Raw genomic sequence first — 20176 nt, 5'->3', positions numbered from 1 at the left:
TGAGTGAGGTGGCTCATGCCTATAATCCCAGCACTTTGGGAGGTGTGGGCGGGTGGATCACCAGAATTCGGGAGTTTGAGACCAGCCTGGCCAACATGGTGAAACCCTGTCTCTACTAAAAATACAAAAATTAGCCAGGCATGGGCCGGGCGTGGTGGCTCATGCCCGTAATCCCAGCACTTTGAGAGGCCGAGGCGGGAGTATCACGAGGTCAGGAGATCGAGACCATCCTGGCTAACATGGTGAAACCCCGTCTCTACTAAAAATACAAAAAATTAGCTGGGCATGGTGGTACGTGCCTGTAGTTCCAGCTACTCGGGAGGCTGAGGCAGGAGAATGGCATGAACCTGGGAGGCGGAGCTTGCAATGAGCCAAGACCGCACCACTGCACTCCAGCCTGGGTGACAGAGCAAGACTCCGTCTCAAAAAAAAAAAAAAAAAAATTAGCCAGGCATGGTGTCGCAGGCCTGTAATCCTAGCCACTTGGGAGGCTGAGGCAGGAGAATCACTTGAACTGGGGAGGCGGAGGTTGCAGCGAGCTGAGATTGTGTCACTGCACTCCAGCCTGGGCATCAGAGCAAGACTCTGTCTCAAAAAAAAAAAAAAGAGAGAGAGAGAGTGAAAGATTAGTATTTAAATATTTAAATTGGTAGGGTTTAGGTAAAGCAGATTGCCCTCCATCCATGATGTGATTGGGTCTCATCCAGTCAGTTGAAGGTTCAAACAGAACAAACGACTGACCTTCCCTGAGCAAGAGGGAGTTTAGAAGCACGTAGCATTGAGACTTGAACTGAACCTTGACTCTTCTCTGGGTCTTCAGTCTGCCCACAACCCTGCAGATCTTGGATTTACCAGCCTCCATAATGGTGTGAAACAATTCCTTTTTTTTTTTTGGCAGAGATGGGGTCTCACTCTCACTTAGGTTTGAATGCAGTGGCACTGTTATAGGTCATGCAGCCTCACACTTCTGAGCTCAAGTGATCTTCTCATCTCAGCCTCCCGACTAGCTGAGACTACAGGCAAGCACCACCAGGCCCAGCTAATTTTTTATTTTTTATTTTTTTGTAGAGACGGAGTCTTGCTATGTTACCCAGGCTGGTCTCAAACTCCTGGGCTCAAGTGATCCTCCCACCTCGGCCTCCCAAAGTGCTGAGATTACAGGAGTGAGCCACTGTGCCTCTCCCTCTCTTTCTCTTGCCATATACATACACATGGAAAGAGAGAGAGTTCCTGAGGGGCAGCACCAGGATCACACACACACACACACACACACACACACACACCCTATTGGTTCTGATCATCTGGAGAACCCTTGACTAATACACCCTGTTTCAGTAAAATGAAATGGGGTTAAATGAAAGAAAGGCTAATCTGCTCAAGATTATACACAACCGATAAATGAAGGCGGAATTGGAGTTCACATTCAGATCCATCTGTGCCCACCATGTTGCTTAACCAGCATGACTACAGTGCATGGTTACAACACACCATCTGGCTCCTGCCACCTCTCTGATGTCGCCTCCTTGCTCTCTTCCCCACACTCACTCCATCCTGCCCCCAGACCCTGCATGTCCCCTGTGCCAGGCACGTTTCCACCTCGCGGCCTTTGCACTTGCTGTTCCTGTGCCTGAAACGCTTTCTCAGCAGATATCTACACTTCTCTCTTCTGTATGTCATTCAGGTCTCTGTGCAAATGTCTCCTTCTCAGACAGGCCTTTCTGATCGTGCTATATGACACAGTACAGCCTGTCACCTTCTAGCCCCTTACCTTGCTATACTTTTCTTCATAGTACTTTTCACTACTTGGTGAATATATGTTATTTTTATTTTTAGTAGAGATGAGGTCTATGTTGCCCAGGCTGACCTTGAACTCCGGCCTCAAGTGATCCTCCTGCCTTGGGCTCCCAAAGTGCTGGGATTACAGGTATGAGCCACTGGGCAGGTTTAGTTGGTATATTAAATGTTTATTTTTGTCTTGTCTGTCTCCCATCACTAGAGTATAAGGTTCATTGAAGGCAGAGAATTTGTCTATTTTGTCCACTAGAATGCTGTTTGGCATAGAGTAGGTGTTCAACAAATGTTTATTAAAAGAAGAACCAAGGGCCAGGTGCCGTGGCTCACGTCTGTAATCCCAGCACTTTGGGAGGCTGAGGCGGGCAGATCAGCTGAGGTTGGGAGATCAAGACCAGACTGACCAACACGGAGAAACCCCATCTCTACTAAAAATACAAAATTAGCTGGGTGTGTTGGCACTTGCCTATAATCCCAGCTACTCGGGGGGCTGAGGCAGGAGAATCACTTGAACCTGGGAGGTGGAGTTTGTGGTGAGCCGAGATCGCGCCATTGTACTACAGCCTGGGCAACAAGAGCAAAACTCTGTCTCAAAAAAAAAAAAAAAAGAAGAAGAACCAAGAACCCCATTGGCAACACACCACTCTTGTACTTTGAGCCCTTTGTTGAAACTCAACTTCTACCCTGCATCAACTCCAAATTGCTGAATCCTCAGAATGATCCAGATGTTTTTCTCAGCTGCTCAGACCTGTTCCTGAGTCTGTCCACCTTCAGGCTATCATATTTTCCCATCTTCGTCTCTTGTAGCTTACCTTCTCTAGGAAACCCTGACTCACCCAGCCCCTTCTCCACTACTCCCCTTTTAAAAGTTTGTCTGTGTTTTTGTTAATTGCATGTGCTTTTGTCCTGTTGCCCTATGGAACTGTGGGTGCCCTGAGGGCAGGGATGAAGTCAACACAACCTGACTACCTGAAACCTTCCCCAAGGACCTAGTAATTACCTTGACACCTGTGGACATCCAGAAATCCCTACTGCCTGACAGGCATACAAGGGGGGCTGCCCACCCCTCTAAGGGGTGGGGCCACTACTCAGGGACCAACTTGGTTCACACCGTTCTCCTGCCTCAGCCTCCCAAGTAGATGGGACTACAGGTGCCTGCCACCACGCCCCGCTAATTTTTTGTATTTTTAGTAGAGACGGGGTTTCACCATGTTAGCCAGGATGGTATCAATCTCCTGACCTCGTGATCCACCTGCCTCGGCCTCCCAAAGTGCTGGGATTACAGGTGTGAGCCACCGCACCTGGCGGTTTTATTTGTTCTTATTGGATAGATGGTCCCCAACTTATGATGGTTCAATAAATGATTTTTTGATTTTACAATGGTGTGAAAGCGATACTCATTTGATAGAAACCCCAACTTGTGTACCCATACGGCCATTCTGTTCTCACTTTCAGCATAGTATTCAATAAATTTTATGAGATATTCAACAATTTATTATAAAATAGGCTTTGTGTTAGATGATTTTGCCCAACTGTAGGCTAATGTAAGTGGGTTTTGTTTTGTTTTGTTTTTTTGAGATGGAGTCTCACTCTGTCGCCCAGGCTGGAGTGCAGTGGCACGATCTCGGCTCACTGTGAGCTCCGCCTCCCAGGTTCACGCCGTTCTCCTGCCTCAGCCTCCCAAGTTGCTGGGACTACAGGCGCCCACCACCACGCCCAGCTAATTTTTTGTATTTTTAGTAGAGACAGGGTTTCACCATGTTAACCAGGATGGTCTCGATCTCCTGACCTCGTGATCTGCCCGCCTTGGCCTCCCAAAGTGCTGGGATTACAGGCATGAGCCACCATGCCTGGCCAGGGTAATGTAAGTGTTTTGAGCATGTTTGAGGTTGGCTAGTCCAAGCTATATGTTTGGTGGTTTAGGTGCACTAAACTCACTTCGACTTACAATATTTCCAACTTACGATGGACTTATGGGGGTGTAGCCCCATCAGAAGTCAGTCGAGAAGCATTTGTATAATAAAGTGTCAACAGTTGGAAGATTAGCATCACTCAGTGAGTCAATATTAATATCTTCAAATATTACAAAATTATGCAAGAGTAAAGGATCTATGCAAAGTGCAAGAGAAACCAATGAATCATAATGTAACAGAGTATGAAAAGTCCACTGATACAGTTTTATTTATTTATTTATTTATTTATACTTGTTTAAAATTGTGGCCAGGTGCGGTGGCTCATGCCTGTAATCCCAGCACTTTGGGAGGCCGAGACAGGCAGATCATTTGAGGTCAGGAGTTCAAAACCAGCCTGGCCAATATGGTGAAACCCCATCTCTACTAAAAATACAAAAATTAGCCAGACATGGTGGTGGGCACCTGTAATCCCAGCTACTTGGGAGGCTGAGGTAGGAGAATTGCTTGAGCCTAGGAGGCGGAATTTGTAGTGAGCCGAGATGGTGCCACTGCACTCCAGCCTGGGCGACAGAGCGAGACTGTCAAAAAAAAAAATTGTTTTATTTTTAATTTTTGTGGGTACATAGTGGGTGTATATATTTATGAGGTACGTGAGATATTTTGGTGTAGGCATGCAAGGCGTAATAATCACATCATGGAAAATTAGGTATCCATTCCCTCAAACATTTGTCCTTTGTGTTACAAACAATCCAATTATCTTCTTTTAGTTATTTTAAAAAGTACAATTAAATTATTATTAACTATAATCCCCCTGTTGTGCTATTAACTACAAGGTCTTACTCATTCTAGCTATTTTTTGTACCCATTAACCATCCCTACATCCCCCTACTATCCTTCCCAGCCTCTGATAACCATCCTTCTATTCTCCATCTCCATGAGTTCAATTGTTTTTATTTTTATTTTTGTTTTTTTACTTATTTTTATTTTATTTTATTTTATTTTTATTATTATTTTTTGAGATGGAGTCTCGCTGTGTTGCCCTGGCTGGAGTGCAGTGGTGCAATCTTGGCTCACTGCAACCTCCGCCTCCCAGGTTCAAGCGATTCTCCTGCTTCAGCCTCCCAAGTAGCTGGGACTACAGGTGCGTGCCACCATGCCCGGCTAATTTTTTGTATTTTTAGTAGAGATGGGGTTTCACCATGTTAGCCAGGATGGTCTCGATCTCTTGACCTCGTGATCTTCCCACCTCGGCCTCCCAAAGTGCTGGGATTACAGGCGTGAGCCATCGTGCCCGGCCTGTTTTTAATTTTTTATGTATTTTTTGAGACAGAGTTTTGCTCTTGTCGCCCAGGCTGGAATGGCGTGATCTTGGGTCACTGCAACCTCCGGCTCCTGGGTTCAAGTGATTCTCCTGCCTCAGCCTCCTGAGTAGCTGGGATTACAGGTGCCAGCCACCATGCCCAGCTAATGTTTACATTTTTAGTAGAGATGGGGTTTCACCACGTTGGCCAGGCTGGTCTTGAACTCCTGACCTCAGGTGATCCACCCACCTCAGCCTCCCAAAGTGCTGGGATTACGGGCATGAGACACCACCCCTGGTCTGTTTTGATTTTTAGGACCCATAAATAAGTGAGAACATGTGATGTTTGTCTTTCTGTTCCTGGCTTATTTCACTTAACATAATGACCTCCAGTTCCATCCATATTGTTGCAAATGACAGAATTTAATTCCTTTTTTATGGCTGAATAGTACTCCATTGTGTATATGTGCCACATTTTCCTTATCCATTCATCTGCTGATGGACACTTAACGTGCTTCCAAATCTTGACTATTGTGAACAGTGCTGCAACAAACATGGGAGTGCAGATATCTCTTTGATATACTGATTTCCTTTCTCTTTTGGTATACACCCAGCAGTGGGATTGCTGAATCACATGGTAGCTCTATATTTAGTTTTTTTGAGGCATCTGTAAACTCTGCTTGCACTAATTTACATTCCCACCAACAGTGTAGGAGGGTTCCCTTTTCTCCACATCCTTGCCAGCATTTATTATTACTTGTCTTTTGGATATAAGCCATTTTAACTGGGGCAAGATGATATCCCATTGTAGTTTTGATGTGCAGTTCTCTGATGATCAATGACGTTGAGCACCTTTCCATATGTCTGTTTGCCATTTGTATGTTTTCTTTTGAGAAATGTCTACTCAAATCTTATGCCCATTTTAAAATCAGATTATTAGATTTTTTTCCTAAAGAGTTGTTTAAGCTCCTTATATATTCTGGTTATTAATCCCTTATCAGATTGCAAATATTTTCTTCCATTCTGTGGGTTGTCTCTTCACTTTGTTGTTATTTCCTTTGTTATGCTTTTTAACTTGATGTGATCTCATTTGTCCATTTTTGCTTTAGTTGCCTGTTCTTATGGTATATTACTCAAGAAATTTTTGCCCAGACCAATGTCCTGGAGTTTCCTCAATGTTTTCTTGTAGCAGTTTCATAGTTTGAGGTCTTAGATTTAAGACTTTAATCCATTTTGATTAGATTTTTGTATATGGCGAGAGACAGGGGTCAAGTTTCATCCATTTTTTTTTCCTGTGCAATCTGCCTCCCTTGTTTCATTCTTCTGCATATGAATATCTAGTTATCCCAGCACCATTTATTAAAGAGAATGTTTTTTTCCCCAGTGTATGTTCTTGGCACCTTTGTCAAAAATGAGTTTACCATAGGTGTATAAATTTGTTTCTGGGTTCTCTATTCTGCCATTGGTCTATGTGTTCGTTTTTATGCCAGTTCCATGCTGTTTTGCATACTATAGCTCTGTAGTGTAATTTGAAGTCAGGTAATGTGATTCCTCCAGTTTTGTTCTTTTTGCTCAAGATAGCTTTGGCTATCCTGGATCTTTTGTGATTCCATACAACTTTTAGGATTGTTTTGTCTATTTTCGTGAAGAATGTCATTGGTAGTTTGATAGGGATTTCTTTGAATCTGTAGATTGCTTTGGGTAGTATAGACATTTTAACAATATTGATACTTCCAATCCAGGAACATGGAATATCTTTCTATATTTTTGTGTCTTCTTCGATTTCTTTCATCAGTGTTTTATTCTTTTTCTTTCTTATTTATTTATTTATTTATTTATTTTTGAGATGGAGTCTCACACTGTTGCCCAGGCTGGAGTACAGTGGCGTGATCTCCTCTCACTGCAACCTCTGCCTCCTAGGTTCAAGTGATTCTCCTGCCTCAGCCTCCTGAGTAGCTGGGACTACAGGTGCACACCACCACCCCCGGCTCATTTTTGCATTTTTATTAGAGACAGGATCTCAGCATATTTGCCCGGCTGGTCTTGAACTCCTGGCCTCAGGTGATCCACCTGCCTCGGCCTCCCAAAGTGCTGGGATTATAGGCATGAGCCACCGTGCCCAGCCTTTCTTTCTTATTTATTTTTGTAGAGATGGGATCTCACTATGTTGCCCAGGCTAGTCTCAAACTCCTAAGCTCAAGCAATCCTCCCACTTTGGCCTCCCAGAGTGCTGGCATTACAGGCATGAGTTACAGCTCCCGGCCTCATCAGTGTTTTGTAGTTTTCATTGTAGAGATCTTTCACTTCTTTGGCTAAGTTAATTCTGAGGTATTTAACTTTATTCATGGCTATTGTAAATGGGATTACTTTCTTGATTTCTCTTTCAGATTGTTAACGATTGACATAGAGAAATGCTACTGATTTTTGTATGTTGACTTTGTATCCTGCAACTTTACTGAATTTGTTTATCAGTTCTAATGTTTTTTTCGTGAAGTCTAGGTTTTTCCAAATATAAGATCATATCACCTGCAAACAAGGATAATTTGACTTCTTCCTTTCCAGTTTGGATGCTCTTTATTTCTTTTTTCTTTTTTTTTTTTTTGAGACAGAGTTTCGCTCTTGTTACCCAGGCTGGAGTGCAACGGCGTGATCTCAGCTCACTGCAACCTCTGCCTCCTGGGTTCAAGCGATTCTCCTGCCTCAGCTTCCCAAGTGGCTGGGATTACAGGCATGTGCCACCACGCCCAGCTAGTTTTTTATTTTTAGTAGAGACGGGGTTTCTCCATGTTTGGTCAGGCTGGTCTCGAACTCCTGACCTCAGGTGATCCGCCAGCCTCGGCCTCCCAAAGTGCTGGGATTACAGGCATGAGCCACCACGCCCAGTCCTCTTTATTTTTTTCTCTTGTCTGATTGCTCTAGCTAAAACTTTCAGTACTATACTAAATAACAACGGTCAAAGTGGGCATCCTTGTCATGTTCTAGATCTAAGAGGAAAGGCTTTCAGTTTCTCTGCAGTCAGTATTTTACTAGCTATGGGTCTGTCATATATGGCATTTAATATGTTGACGTATGTTCCTTCTATATTCATTTTTTGAGGGTTTTTATCATGAAGTGATGTTGAACTTTATCAAACATTTTCTTAGCATCAATCGAAATGATTATATGGTTTTTGTCCTTCATTCTGTTGATATGATGCATCACATTGATTGATTTGCATAAGTTGAACCATCCTTGCATCCCCGGGATAAATCCCACCTGGTCATGATGAATGATCTTTTTAATGAATTATTGAATTTTGTTTGCTAGTATTTTGCTAAGAATTTTTGCGTCAATATTTATGAGAGATATTGGTCTGTAGTTTTCTTTTCTTCATGTGTCTTTGTCTGGTTTTGGTATCAGTAACACCAGCCTTGTATAATGAATTTGGAAGTATTCCCTCCTCCTCTATATTTTGGAACAGTTTGAGTAGGACTGGTATTAGTTATTCTTTAAAATTTTTTTTCTTTTTTGAGACAGAGTCTTAGGCCGGGCATGGTGGCTCACGCCTATAATCTCAGCACTTTGGAAGGAATCCCAGCCTGGGCAACAGAGTGAGACTGTCTTGGTTTTTTTGTTTTTTGTCTTTTATTTGGAGATGGAGTTTCGCTCTTGTTGCCCCCAGGCTGGAGTGCAATGGCCCAATCTCTGCTCACTTGCAACCTCTGCCTCCTGGGTTCAAGCAATTCTCCCGCCTCAGCCTCCCGAGTAGCTGGGATTACAGGTATGCACCACCATGCCTGGCTAATTTTGTATTTTTAGTAGAGACAGGGTTTCTCCATGTTGGTCAGGCTGGTCTCAAACTCCCAACCTCGGGTGATCTGCCCACCTCGGCCTCCCAAAGTGCTGGGATTACAGGCGTGAGCCACCGTGCCAGGCCTAATTTTTGTGTTTTTAGTAGAGATGGGGTTTCAGCATGTTGGCCAGGCTGGTCTCGAACTCCTGACCTCACGTGATCCACCTGCCTTGGCCTCCCAAAGTGCTGAGATTACAGGCGTGACCCATCATGCCTGGCCTCTTTCTTTCTTTCTTTTTTTTTTTTTTGTTTGAGACAGACTCTTGCTCTGTCGCTTAGGCTGGAGAGAAGTGGCATGATCTCTACTCACTGCAACCTCTGCCTCTCGGGTTCAAGCTATTCTCCTGCCTCAGCCTCCGGAGTAGCTGGGATTACAGGCATGCACCACCACGCCTGGCTAATTTTTGTAATTTTAGTAGAGACAGGGTTTCGCCATGTTGGCCAGGCTGCTCTGGAACTCCTGACCTCAAGTGATCCACCACCTTGGCTTGCCAGAGTGTTGGGATTACAGGCGTGAGCCCCTGCGCCTGGATTTTTTTTTTTTTTTTTTTTTTTTTAATAAAGACAGGGTCTCTCTATGTTGTCTAGGTTGGTCTCCAACTCCTGGGCTCTAGCAATCCTCCCACATTGGTCTCCTAAAGTGCTGCGATTACAGGCATGAGCCACCATGCCCAGCCTACTGGGAGACTGTATTACAGCTCTGATCTCGTGACTTGTTATTGCTCTATTTGGGTTTTGGATGTCTTCATGGTTCAATCCTGGTAGGTTAGATGTATCTAGGAATTTATCCATTTCTTCTGGATTTTGCAATTTATTGGCATATAGTTGCTCATAGTAGCCACTAGTGAGCCCTTGAATTTCTGCGGTATTAGATGCACTGTCTCCTTTTTAATCTCTGATTTTATTTATTTGGGTCTTTTCTTTTTCTTTTCTTAGTCTGGCTAAACGTTTGCCAATTTTGTTTATCTTTTTAAAAAAACAACTTTTTGTTCGTTGATCTTTTTTATTTCATTTATTTATTTATTTTTTGAGATGGAGTCTCACTCTGTTGCCCAGGTTGGAGCGCAGTGGCGCGATCTTGGCTCACTGCAAGCTCCACCTCCCAGGTTCAAGTGATTTTCCTGACTCAACCTCCCGAGTAGCTGGGATTACAGGCACCCGCCACCATGCCCGGCTATTTTTTTGTATTTTTTGTAGAGATGGGGCTTCGTCATCTTGGCCAGGCTGGTCTTGAACTCCTGACCTCATGTGATCTGCCCGCCTGGACCTCCCAAAGTGCTGGGATTACAGGTGTGAGCCACTGCGCCTGGCCTGATCTTTTTTATTTTATATTTTTATTTTTATTATTTCTTTTTGAGATGGAGTCTCACTCTGTTGCCCAGGATGGGGTGCAGTGGCACGATCTTGGATCACTGCAAACCCTGCCTCCCAGGTTCAAGTGATTCTCTTGCCTCAGCCTCTGGAGTAGCTGGGATTACAGGTGCATGCCACTACTACCAGCTATTTTTTGTATTTTTAGTAGAGATGGGGTTTTCTTCATTTCAAATTCATTTATTCATTTCTTTCTTTCTTTCTTTCCTTTTTTTTGGGGGGGTGGGGGAGAGAGGGGACAGAGTCTTACTCTGTTGCCTGGGCTGGAGTGAAGTTGTGTGATCTCAGCTCACTGCAATCTCCGCCTCCCGGGTTCAAGCAATTCTCCTGCCTCAGCCTGAGTAGCTGGGACTGCAGGTGCATGCTGCCACAGCCAGCTACTTTTTTGTATTTTAGTAGAGACAGGGCTTCACTGTGTTGCCCAGGCTGGTCCCAAACTCCTGAGCTCAGGCAATCTGCCCCGCTTGGCCTCCCAAAGTGCTAGGATTACAGGCGTGAGCCAATGCGCCCGGCCCAAATTCATTTATTTCTGATCTGAACCTTATTATTTATTTTCTTCTCCTAATTTTGGGTTCAGTTTGCTCTGCCTCTTCAAGTTCTTTAACATGCATCATTAGGTTATTTGGTTGTTTTTCTTCTTCCTCTTTTTTTTTTTTTTTGAGAGGAGGGTCTTGCTCTGTTGCCCAGGCTGGAGTGCAGTGTCGAGAATCATGGCCAACAGCAGCCTAGACCACCCAGGCTCAAGTGATCCTCCCACCTCAGCCTCCCAAGTAGCTGGGACTATAGGCACACACCACCCCGTCTGGCTAATTTTTGTATTTTTGTAGAGGCAAAGTTTTGCCATGTTGCCAAGGCTGTTTTTCCTCTTTTTTGATGTAGGCACTTATAGCTATAAATTTCCCTCTTAGTACTGCTTTCACTGTATTCCATAGGTGTGTTAGTACGTTGTGTTTCTATTATCATTTGTTTCAAGAAATTTTTCAATTTCCTTCTTAATTTCTTCATTGACCCACTGGTCATTCAGGAGCATATTGTTTAATTTCCATGTATTTGAATAGTTTCCAAAATTCCTTTTGTTATTGATTTCTAGTTTTATTCCACTGTGGTCAGAGATGTTTGATATTATTTCAATTTTTTTGAATTGAATGTTTTAAGACTTGTTTTGGGAGTAACATATGGTCTATCCTTGAGAATGATCCCTATGCTGAGGAGAAGAATGTGTGTTCTGTAGCCATTGGATGAAATGTTCTATAAGTATCTGTTAGGTCAATTTGTTCTGTAGTGCAGATTAAATCCGATGTTTCTTTGTTGATTTTCTATCTGGGAGTTCTGTCCAATGCTGAAAGTTGGGTGTTGAAGCCTCCAGCTGTTTATTCTTTTTTTTTCCCCCAAGCCTAACTGTATCCAGTTTTATTAAAGATACTTTGCATAAACAATCATGGTATTTCAGGCAGGACATGGGCAGACAATCATTAACAGTATACAACAACTTTCAAACTCCCTTCTTCAATGGACTACCAGAAATCAGAAAGCCACTATAAAACCCAATGAAGTCTTCATCTGATGATCTGAACAGGGAAAGTTTAGAGTGAGAGTTGACATTTCACATTTAGCATGTTGTTTAACAACTTTTCACAAGTCAACCCTGACTTTCAGGAAGTGAAATTAAAATGGCAGAATTTATCTGAAGATCTACAATCTAGAAACAGAACCACTACTTTTTTTTTTTTTTTTTTTTTTTTTTTTTTTTTTTTGAGAGGCAGTCTCGCTCTGTCGTGCCCAGGCTGGAGTACGGTCGTGTGATCTCGGCTCACTGCAACCTTCGCCTCCCAGGTTCAAGTGATTCTCTTGCCTCAGCCTCCCAAGTAGCTGGGATTACAGGCATCCGCCACCACACACGGCTAATTTTTTGTATTTTTAGTAGAGAAGGGGGTTTCACCATATTAGCCAGGCTGGTCTCAAACTCTCGACCTCAGGTGATCCGCCTGCCTCGGCCTCCCACAGTGCTGGGATTACAGGCGTGAGCCACCACACCCCGCACCATTGCTCTTTTGACAGGTGCCATCTCAGTGACATCACTGGAAAGTCCAGATTGCCTGACACACTAGTAACCAATGATTGGAGGTCAGGTTCCAATAGATGTCTGGGCTTAAGGGAGTTAAGTCTATGCTGAAAGATGGAAAGGGAGAAGAGGACATAAAAACAAATTTGCTTTTCCCTTTCACAAGGCTTTTGTGCCAAGGTGGCCATGTGTGTCAAAGTCAGGGAATCCCTCCTCCTGGGAGCCAAGAGGAAGTCTCTCGGAACTAGAAGGAAAAGACGATTTCCCCATATCAATCCAGCTTCAGAGACATTCTATTAGTGACATTTGCTCCTTCTCCTAAAAGCAACAATGAAGTGTTCTGTGTGCTAACAACATAGCTTAAAAAAAAAAAAAAAATCTGGGCCGGGCGCGGTGGCTCACGCCTGTAATCCCAGCACTCTGGGAGGCCGAGGTGGGCGGATCATGAGGTCAGGAGATTGAGACCATCCTGGCTAACACGGTGAAACCTCGTCTCTACTAAAAATACAAAAAATTAGCTGGGCGTGCTGGCAGGCGCCTGTAGTCCCAGTTACTCGGGAGGCTGAGGCAGGAGAATGGCGTGAACTTGGGAGGCGGAGCTCGCAGTGAGCCGAGATCACGCCACTGCACTCCAGCCTAGGAGACAGAGCGAGACTCCGTCTCAAAAAATAAAAATAAAAAATAAAAAATAAATTTAAAAAATCTGCATTTTTATAAAACTTGATACAAAATAGTATTTCAAACTGTACACTCACCAGAAGTACACAGTTATCAAAAATGCACACACTTCCTCTGGCATCTCCAGCACCTTCAGCTTTCTGTTCCTGGTCTGTTTTGGCATCTCCATTTTCTGCAGGGTTATTCCCCTCCTTTCCAGCATCAGCTTTTCCCTTCTTCTCTTTGAGTACCTTCTCTCCCTTCTTTGCAGGGGCCTTTTTAGGCTTGGGCTCTGGCTTTGGAGAAGAAGGTTTAGCAGACAACCTCGCGGATCTCCTTTGTGGTTCGTCCTTCACCTTGGCTTTATCTCCTTTAGGATCCCCTTCAGCCTTTCCCTTGGGCATGGTGGTGGCAACAGCGACGGGATGTAGGCGCTGGGCACGCGGGTCGGTCTGGGGGTCATTCTTGTATCTTCTTCTTCTTCTATTCTTTAGCTCTAATAATATTTGCTTTATATATATGGATGCTCCACTGTTGGCTGCATATATATTTATAATGATCATAACCTCTTGCTGAATTGACCCCTTTATCATTACATAATGAGCTTCTTTGTCTCTTCTTACAGTTTTATCTTGAAATTTATTTTGTCTAATATAAGTATAGCTACTCCTGCTCTGTTTTGGTTTCCATTGGCATGGAATATCTTTTCCCTTTATTTTCAGTCCTATATGTATCTTTACAGGTGAAGCGTCCAACAGAAATACTTTTATTTTATTTTTTTGAGACAGAGTCTTGCTCTGTCACCCAGGCTGGAATGCAATGGTGCAACCTTGGCTGACTGCAACCTCCACCTCCTGGGTTCAAGCAATTCTCCTGCCTCAGTCTCCCAAGTGGCTAGGATTACAGGTGCATGCCACTGTGCCCGGCTAATTTTTGTATTTTTAGTAGAGACAGGGTTTCACCATGTTGGCCAGGCTGGTCTCGAACTCCTGAACTCAAGTGATCTGCCCGCCTCGACCAACCAAAGTGCTGGGGTTACAGGCATGAGCCACCTCGCCCAGCCCACACATACTTTTAAGGGGTCTTTAATCACTTGACCCTGGCCAGCTTTTCCAACCTCATCCTTGCCACTGCCCCCATGAAACATTCTTTGTCTCAGACACAGCCACAAAAGATTGCCCACCATGAACTTTCAGGCCTCTCATTCAAGCTGTTCCCTTGGCCTTACATGCCCCCTCCCCTCACCTAAACAACTCTTACTCATCTTTCCAGTATCAACTCAGGCTTCTGGGCCTCTATGAAGCCTTCCCTCCAGATAGTCCCTTCCTTCTCTGTGTTCTGTTTAACTTTGCATATCCTTTTATCTTCAGTACAGAGGCTCTTAGATTTGGAATTTGTCTTCCAAATTGTTTGACTGGGCTCAAGCAATCCTCCTGCCTCAGGCGCTGGAGTAGCTAGCACTATAGGCATGCTCTACCATGCCAGCTAAAATTTACATATATATAATATATGTATCTATTTAATAGATACATAAATATGTATCTATTTAATAGATACATATTTAAATATGTATCTATTTAATAGATACATATTTAAATATGTATATATTTTATAGATACATATTTAAATAAAATATATATTAAAAAAATTTTTTTTGAGACAGAGTCTTGCTCTATCGCCCAGACTGGAGTGCAGTAGCATGATCTTGGCTCACTGCAACCTCTGCCTCCTGGGTTCAAGCAATTCTCCTGCCTCAGCCTCCTCAGTAGCTGGGATTACAGGCGTGCACCACCACACCCAGCTAAATTTTGCATTTTTAGTAGAGATGGGGTTTCACCATGTTGGCCAAGCTGGTCTCGAACTCCTGACCTGGTGATCTGCCCACCTCAGCCCCCCAAAGTGCTGGGATTATAGGTGTAAGCCACCATGCCCGTCCATTTTTAATATTTTTTTTTATAGAGACAAGGTCTCACTATGTTGCCCAGTCTGGTCTCAAACTCCTGGCCTGACACGATTCTCTTGCCTTGTCCTCCCAAGATGCTGGGATTACAGGTATGAGCCACCATGCCCAGCAAAAGCCCCAATTAAAAAAAAAATTATTATTATTTTTTTAACCATGACACAGCCTCAGGAGGTCCTGATGACATGTTCCCCAAAAGCCCCAATTTTTAACTCCCAAGCTGCTCTGCCTCTCATATCCTATTGTAATCACATGTACTTCATCCTGAGGTGGTAGTGGAAGGGTAATGATCTGCAGAAAGACTGAAGAGAAAGGAGTTGGACTGTAAGAATATTCTGTCTCTTGTCCAGTGCTATCCAAGGCCAAACACCCTGTGTCTGGCAGACTGGGGTCTCTGGAGTAGTTGTATTTCCTGGGACCAGGAAAGCTAGCTCAGTTTTTCTGGAGACCATCTAATGCCAAACTGTCCTTCTCTCTCTCGCTCACTCATCATACATTTATAGAAACCCGGCTACATTTCCCACACTGTGCTTGATCTTGGGAATACAATGGTCCTGGGGGCAGGACAGGCAGAGAAAGAAAACCCCTACAGCTCAACATGGTTATTGCCATGAAAGTCAATAAAAGAAAGTCAGTGAGAGCAGGAGGAGGGAGATGGGGGCCAACCCTGCAGGACAGAATCAAGGCGCAGGAAGGCTGCCTGGGAGACATGATACTTGAGCTGAGCATTAGAGAAACATGCACCACATTTGCTTGCAGCATATTTAGAGTTTCACTTTTTACATTAAAATTGTTTTGGGCGGGGCCCGGTGGCTCACACCTGTAATCCTAGCACTTTGGGAGGCCAAGGTGGGCCATCACAAGGTCAGGAGATCGAGACCATCCTGGCCAACATGGTGAAACCCTGTCTCTATTAAAAATACAAAAATCAGCTGGGCATGGTGGCGTGTGCCTGTAATCTCAGCTACTCAGGAGGCTGAGGCAGGAGAATCGCTTGAACCAGGGAGTCGGAGGTTGCAGTGAGCTGAGATCATGCCACTGCACTCCAGCCTGGCGACAGAGTGAGACTCCGTCTCAAAAAAAGAAAAAGAAAAAGAAAAAATTGTTTTTATTGCTCTGGGTCTTTGTTTTGGTATAAGATGTGAGGTTCAAATCTACCTTAATTTTTTTTCAAATGGTAAGCTAGTTGCAAATGCTTTTCAAACAATCCATCTTTCCTCACTCACTCAAGATGGTGCCTCTATCATATGCTACATTGGTATATATGCCTGATCTATTTTCTCTTTTTATTATGTTCCATCAATCTAGGGAAGGAGGCGCTAGACTGCAGTGGTAAAGTATGCAGGCTCTGGAGGAAGATCGGCTGGGTTGTGCCTCAGTGTCCTCATTTGTGAAACGGAGATAGTAGTACTTATTTCTTTTTTCTTTTTCTTTCCTTTTTTCTTTTTCTTTTTTTTTTTTTTTGAGATGGAATCTCACTCTGTTGCCCAGGCTGGAGTCCAGTGGCATGATCTCGGCTCACTGCAACCTCCACCTCCCGGGTTCAAGCAATTCTCCTGCCTCAGCCTCCCGAGTAGCTGGGATTATAGGCATCTGCCACCACCCCTGGCTAATTTTGTATTTTCAGTGGAGACCTGGTTTTACCATGTTGGCCAGGCTGGTCTCCAACTCCTGACCTCAAGTGATCCACACACCTCGGCCTCCCAAAGTGCTGGCATTACAGGCGTGAGCCACCGCGCCCGGCCAGTAGTACTTATTTCGCATGGTTGCTGTGAAGATTGACTGAGATAATGCACATAAAGCACTCATCACAGTGCCTGACACATAGGAATCATAGTGACATAGAGCTGACACATAGTGAATGTCAGCTGTTGTGATGAACCCTAACTGCCCATTCCTGTAGCAGCAACACAGTAGAATGAAAGTGCTAAGAATATAGTTTTGGGTCCAATGAAACAGCTTTGCTGTTTACTATCTGCACAACCTTGAGCTAGTTACTTACCTTTTGCCCTCTCTGTGTCATGGTTTCCTCATTCATACATGGGAATAGAAAAGTACCTACTTCATTCGGCTGGGTGCGGTGGCTCACGCCTGTAATCCCAGCACTTTGGGAGGCCGAGGCGGGCGAATTGCCTGAGGTCAGGAGTTTGAGACCAGCCTGGCCAGAGTGGTGAAACCCCATCTCTATTAAAAATACAAAAATTAGCTGAGCATGGTGGCAGGTGCCTATAATCCCAGCTACTCGGGAAACTGAGGCAGGAGAATCGCTTGAACCCGGGAGGCAGAGGTTGCAGCGAGCTGAGATTGTACCACTGCACTCCAGCCTGGGCGACAGAGCAAGGCTCTGTCTCAAAAAAAAAAACAAAACCCAAAAAACAGAAATACTTTATAATTTATTATCTATCCTTATATGTGGTGGTGTAAGCCCCTAAAATGTTCTGGGGAGTTTCAGGGCCAAGTCTACTGTGTATGAATAAAATGGACTTTCTGGATCTGCATCTGCAATGCTCGTGTCCAGCCCCTGTAAGTATACCAATATTTGAAAGTCATTGTGACCAGTGAGTCCTTGATTGAGAAACCAGAAAGATTTGGTGTGGAAATGGAAATGTGGCTAGGGCTTTGAAGGTCGTATAGCAGGTTTAAAAACATTTTTTTTTTTTTGAGACAGAGTCTCGCTCTGTCACCCAGGCTGGAGTGCAGTGGCACAGTCTCGGCTCACTGCAACCTCCGCCTCCCGGGTTCATGCCATTCTCCTGCCTCAGCCTCCCAAGTAGCTGGGACTACAGGCACCCGCCACCACGCCCGGCTAATTTTTTTTTTTTTTTTGTATTTTTAGTGGAGACGGGGTTTCACCGTGTTAGCCAGGATGATCTCGATCTCCTGACCTCGTGATCCACCCGTCTCCACCTCCCAAAGTGCTGGGATTACAGGCGTGAGCCACCGCACCCAGCCTAAAAAATGTTTTTCGCTAGGAGCGGTGGCTCACGCCTGTAATCCCAGCACTTTGGGAGGCCGAGGGGGCGAATCACCTGAGGTCTGGAGTTTGAGACCAGCCCGGCCAACAAGGTGAAACCCCAACTCTACTAAAAATACAAAAATTAGCCAGGCATGGTGGCAGGTGCCTGTAATCCCAGCTACTCGGGAGGCTGAGGCAGGAGAATTGCTTGAACCCGGGAGGCGGAGGTTGCAGTGAGCCAAGACCGTGTCATTTCACCCCAACCTCGGCGACAAGAGCAAAACTCCGGCTCAAAAAAAAAAAAAAAAAAAGTTTGGGCTGAGCGCGGTGGCTCACGCCTGTAATCCCAGCACTTTGGGAGTCCGAGGTGGGAGGATCACAAGCTCAGGAGTTCGAGACCAGCCTGACCAACATGGTGAAACCCTGTCTTTAATAAAAATACAAAGATTTGCTGGGTGTGGTGGTGCGTGCCTGTAGTCCCAGCTACTTGGGATGTTGAGGCAGGCTAATCGCTTGAACATGGGAGGCAGAGGTTGCAGTGAGCTGAGATCATGCCACTGTACTCTAGCCTGGGCCACAGAACGAGACTCTGTCTCAAAAAAAAAAAGAAAAGTTTTTATTTGTTTTAATTTTTACTTTAACAAAGGAATTTGTATAGTTTTAAAAGCCAACTAGTTCAACAAATATTTTTCGGGGTGGCGGGGCATTTTCAAGTGAAAACCGGGAAACCTGCTCAACAAATTCTGAAAGCTGTAACTTCGGTGGGCGCCGTGGCTTACGACTGCAATAGCAGCACTTTGTGGGGGCTGAGATGAATTGCTTGAGCCCAGGATTTTGAGACCAGCCTGGGCAACATAGGGAGACCCCGTCTACACACACACACACACACACACACACACACACACACACACACACACTAGATGGGCGTGGTGGTGGTGGCCCACTTCTGTAGTCCCTGCTACTCCAGAGTCTGAGGTGGGAGGATAGCTTGAGTCCAGGAGGTCGAGGCTGCAGTAAGCCATGTTTGCACCGCTGCTCTCCACCCTGGGCAACAGAGCAAGACCTTGTCTGAAAAAAAGAAAAAGAATAGAAAAAAAAAGAGCTGTAACTCTACAAGGCTTTTAATGAAAAATAACCATCCCCTGCTCCTCTTCTTTAACCCTTACATATACAACCTACATATACAACTACGCTCCAGTTTCTAGGCTGCTTCTTCTGGTACTTATCTGTACATTTCTTCAAGCAACACTCCCACCTAGGCCTCCCAAAGTTCTGGGATCACAGCTCCACTGTCCCCAGCTCCAATTTTTAGTTAAATCAATACTTAGTGTTTACATCGTTACGGCTGTGAAAATTTTCTTCACAGCTGAGCCATTTGTGTTTGTGCTAAGACTGTGAATCTGTAAAAACTGCTTTTGTTAATTAACATCCAGGACATACGGCTGAGAAACTTCATTTTCTAAAATCATAGTCACAAACTTTGCTATTTGAAATCAGTCAGTGCGAATGGAACATCCTACTCTTGCCAGAAGTTCTGAGCCACGTGGATTACTTTGGCCTCCCAAAGTGTTGGGATTACAGGCACGAGCCACTGTGCCCAGCCTAGATAGTGGGTTTTTGGACACTATATTCTATATTTATCTTGACTTTGTAATTTCCAAGTGGTCCCTCAGCTTGGACTTCTTGATCCCTTCACTTAAAGTTATGCTTACCTCGAACCGATCAAAACACTGTTTCATTTAAATTTTAGCTAGCCTATAGTATCAGCCACTTGGGAGGCTGAGGCAGGAGGATCACTTGAGCCCAGAAGTTTGAGCTTCGCCTGGGCAACATACCGAGACTTCAACTCTAAATAAATAAGTAAATAAATTTTAAAATATAAATTTTAAAGTCAAGCCTTTCCCATATCCTGTTGTATTAGTTCATTTTCACATTACTGATAAAGACATACCCGAAACTGCAAACAAAAAGAGGTTTAATTGGACTTACAGTTCCACATTGCTGGGGAGGCCTCAGAATCATGGCGGGAGACAAAGGCACTTCTTACATGGCGGTGGCAAGAGAAAAATGAGGAAGAAGCAAAAGCAGAAACCCCTGATGAACTCATCAGATCTTGTGAGACTTATTCACTATCATGAAAATAGCACGGGAAAGTCTGGCCCCCGTGATTCAATTACCTCCCCTTAGGTCCCTCGCACGTGGGAATTCTGGGAGATACACATCAACTTGAAATTTGGGTGGGGACACAGCCAAACCATATCATCTGAATGACCATATTTCTTCCTTTTTAATGAGTTGCCCCACAGTTCTTCTAGTGTGTGATCTCTCTGTTGT

At 44.3% G+C, this 20176-nt stretch overlaps 1 pseudogene; it reads right to left on the bottom strand.

The window, feature by feature from the left end:
• HMGN2P18 (high mobility group nucleosomal binding domain 2 pseudogene 18) lies at positions 11596-13404 on the bottom strand (annotated as a pseudogene).

The sequence above is a fragment of the Homo sapiens genome, chromosome 1 (assembly GCF_000001405.40).
Source record: "Homo sapiens chromosome 1, GRCh38.p14 Primary Assembly".
NCBI classification, from domain to species: domain Eukaryota; kingdom Metazoa; phylum Chordata; class Mammalia; order Primates; family Hominidae; genus Homo; species Homo sapiens.
This window is presented reverse-complemented; position numbering and strand designations above follow the sequence as displayed.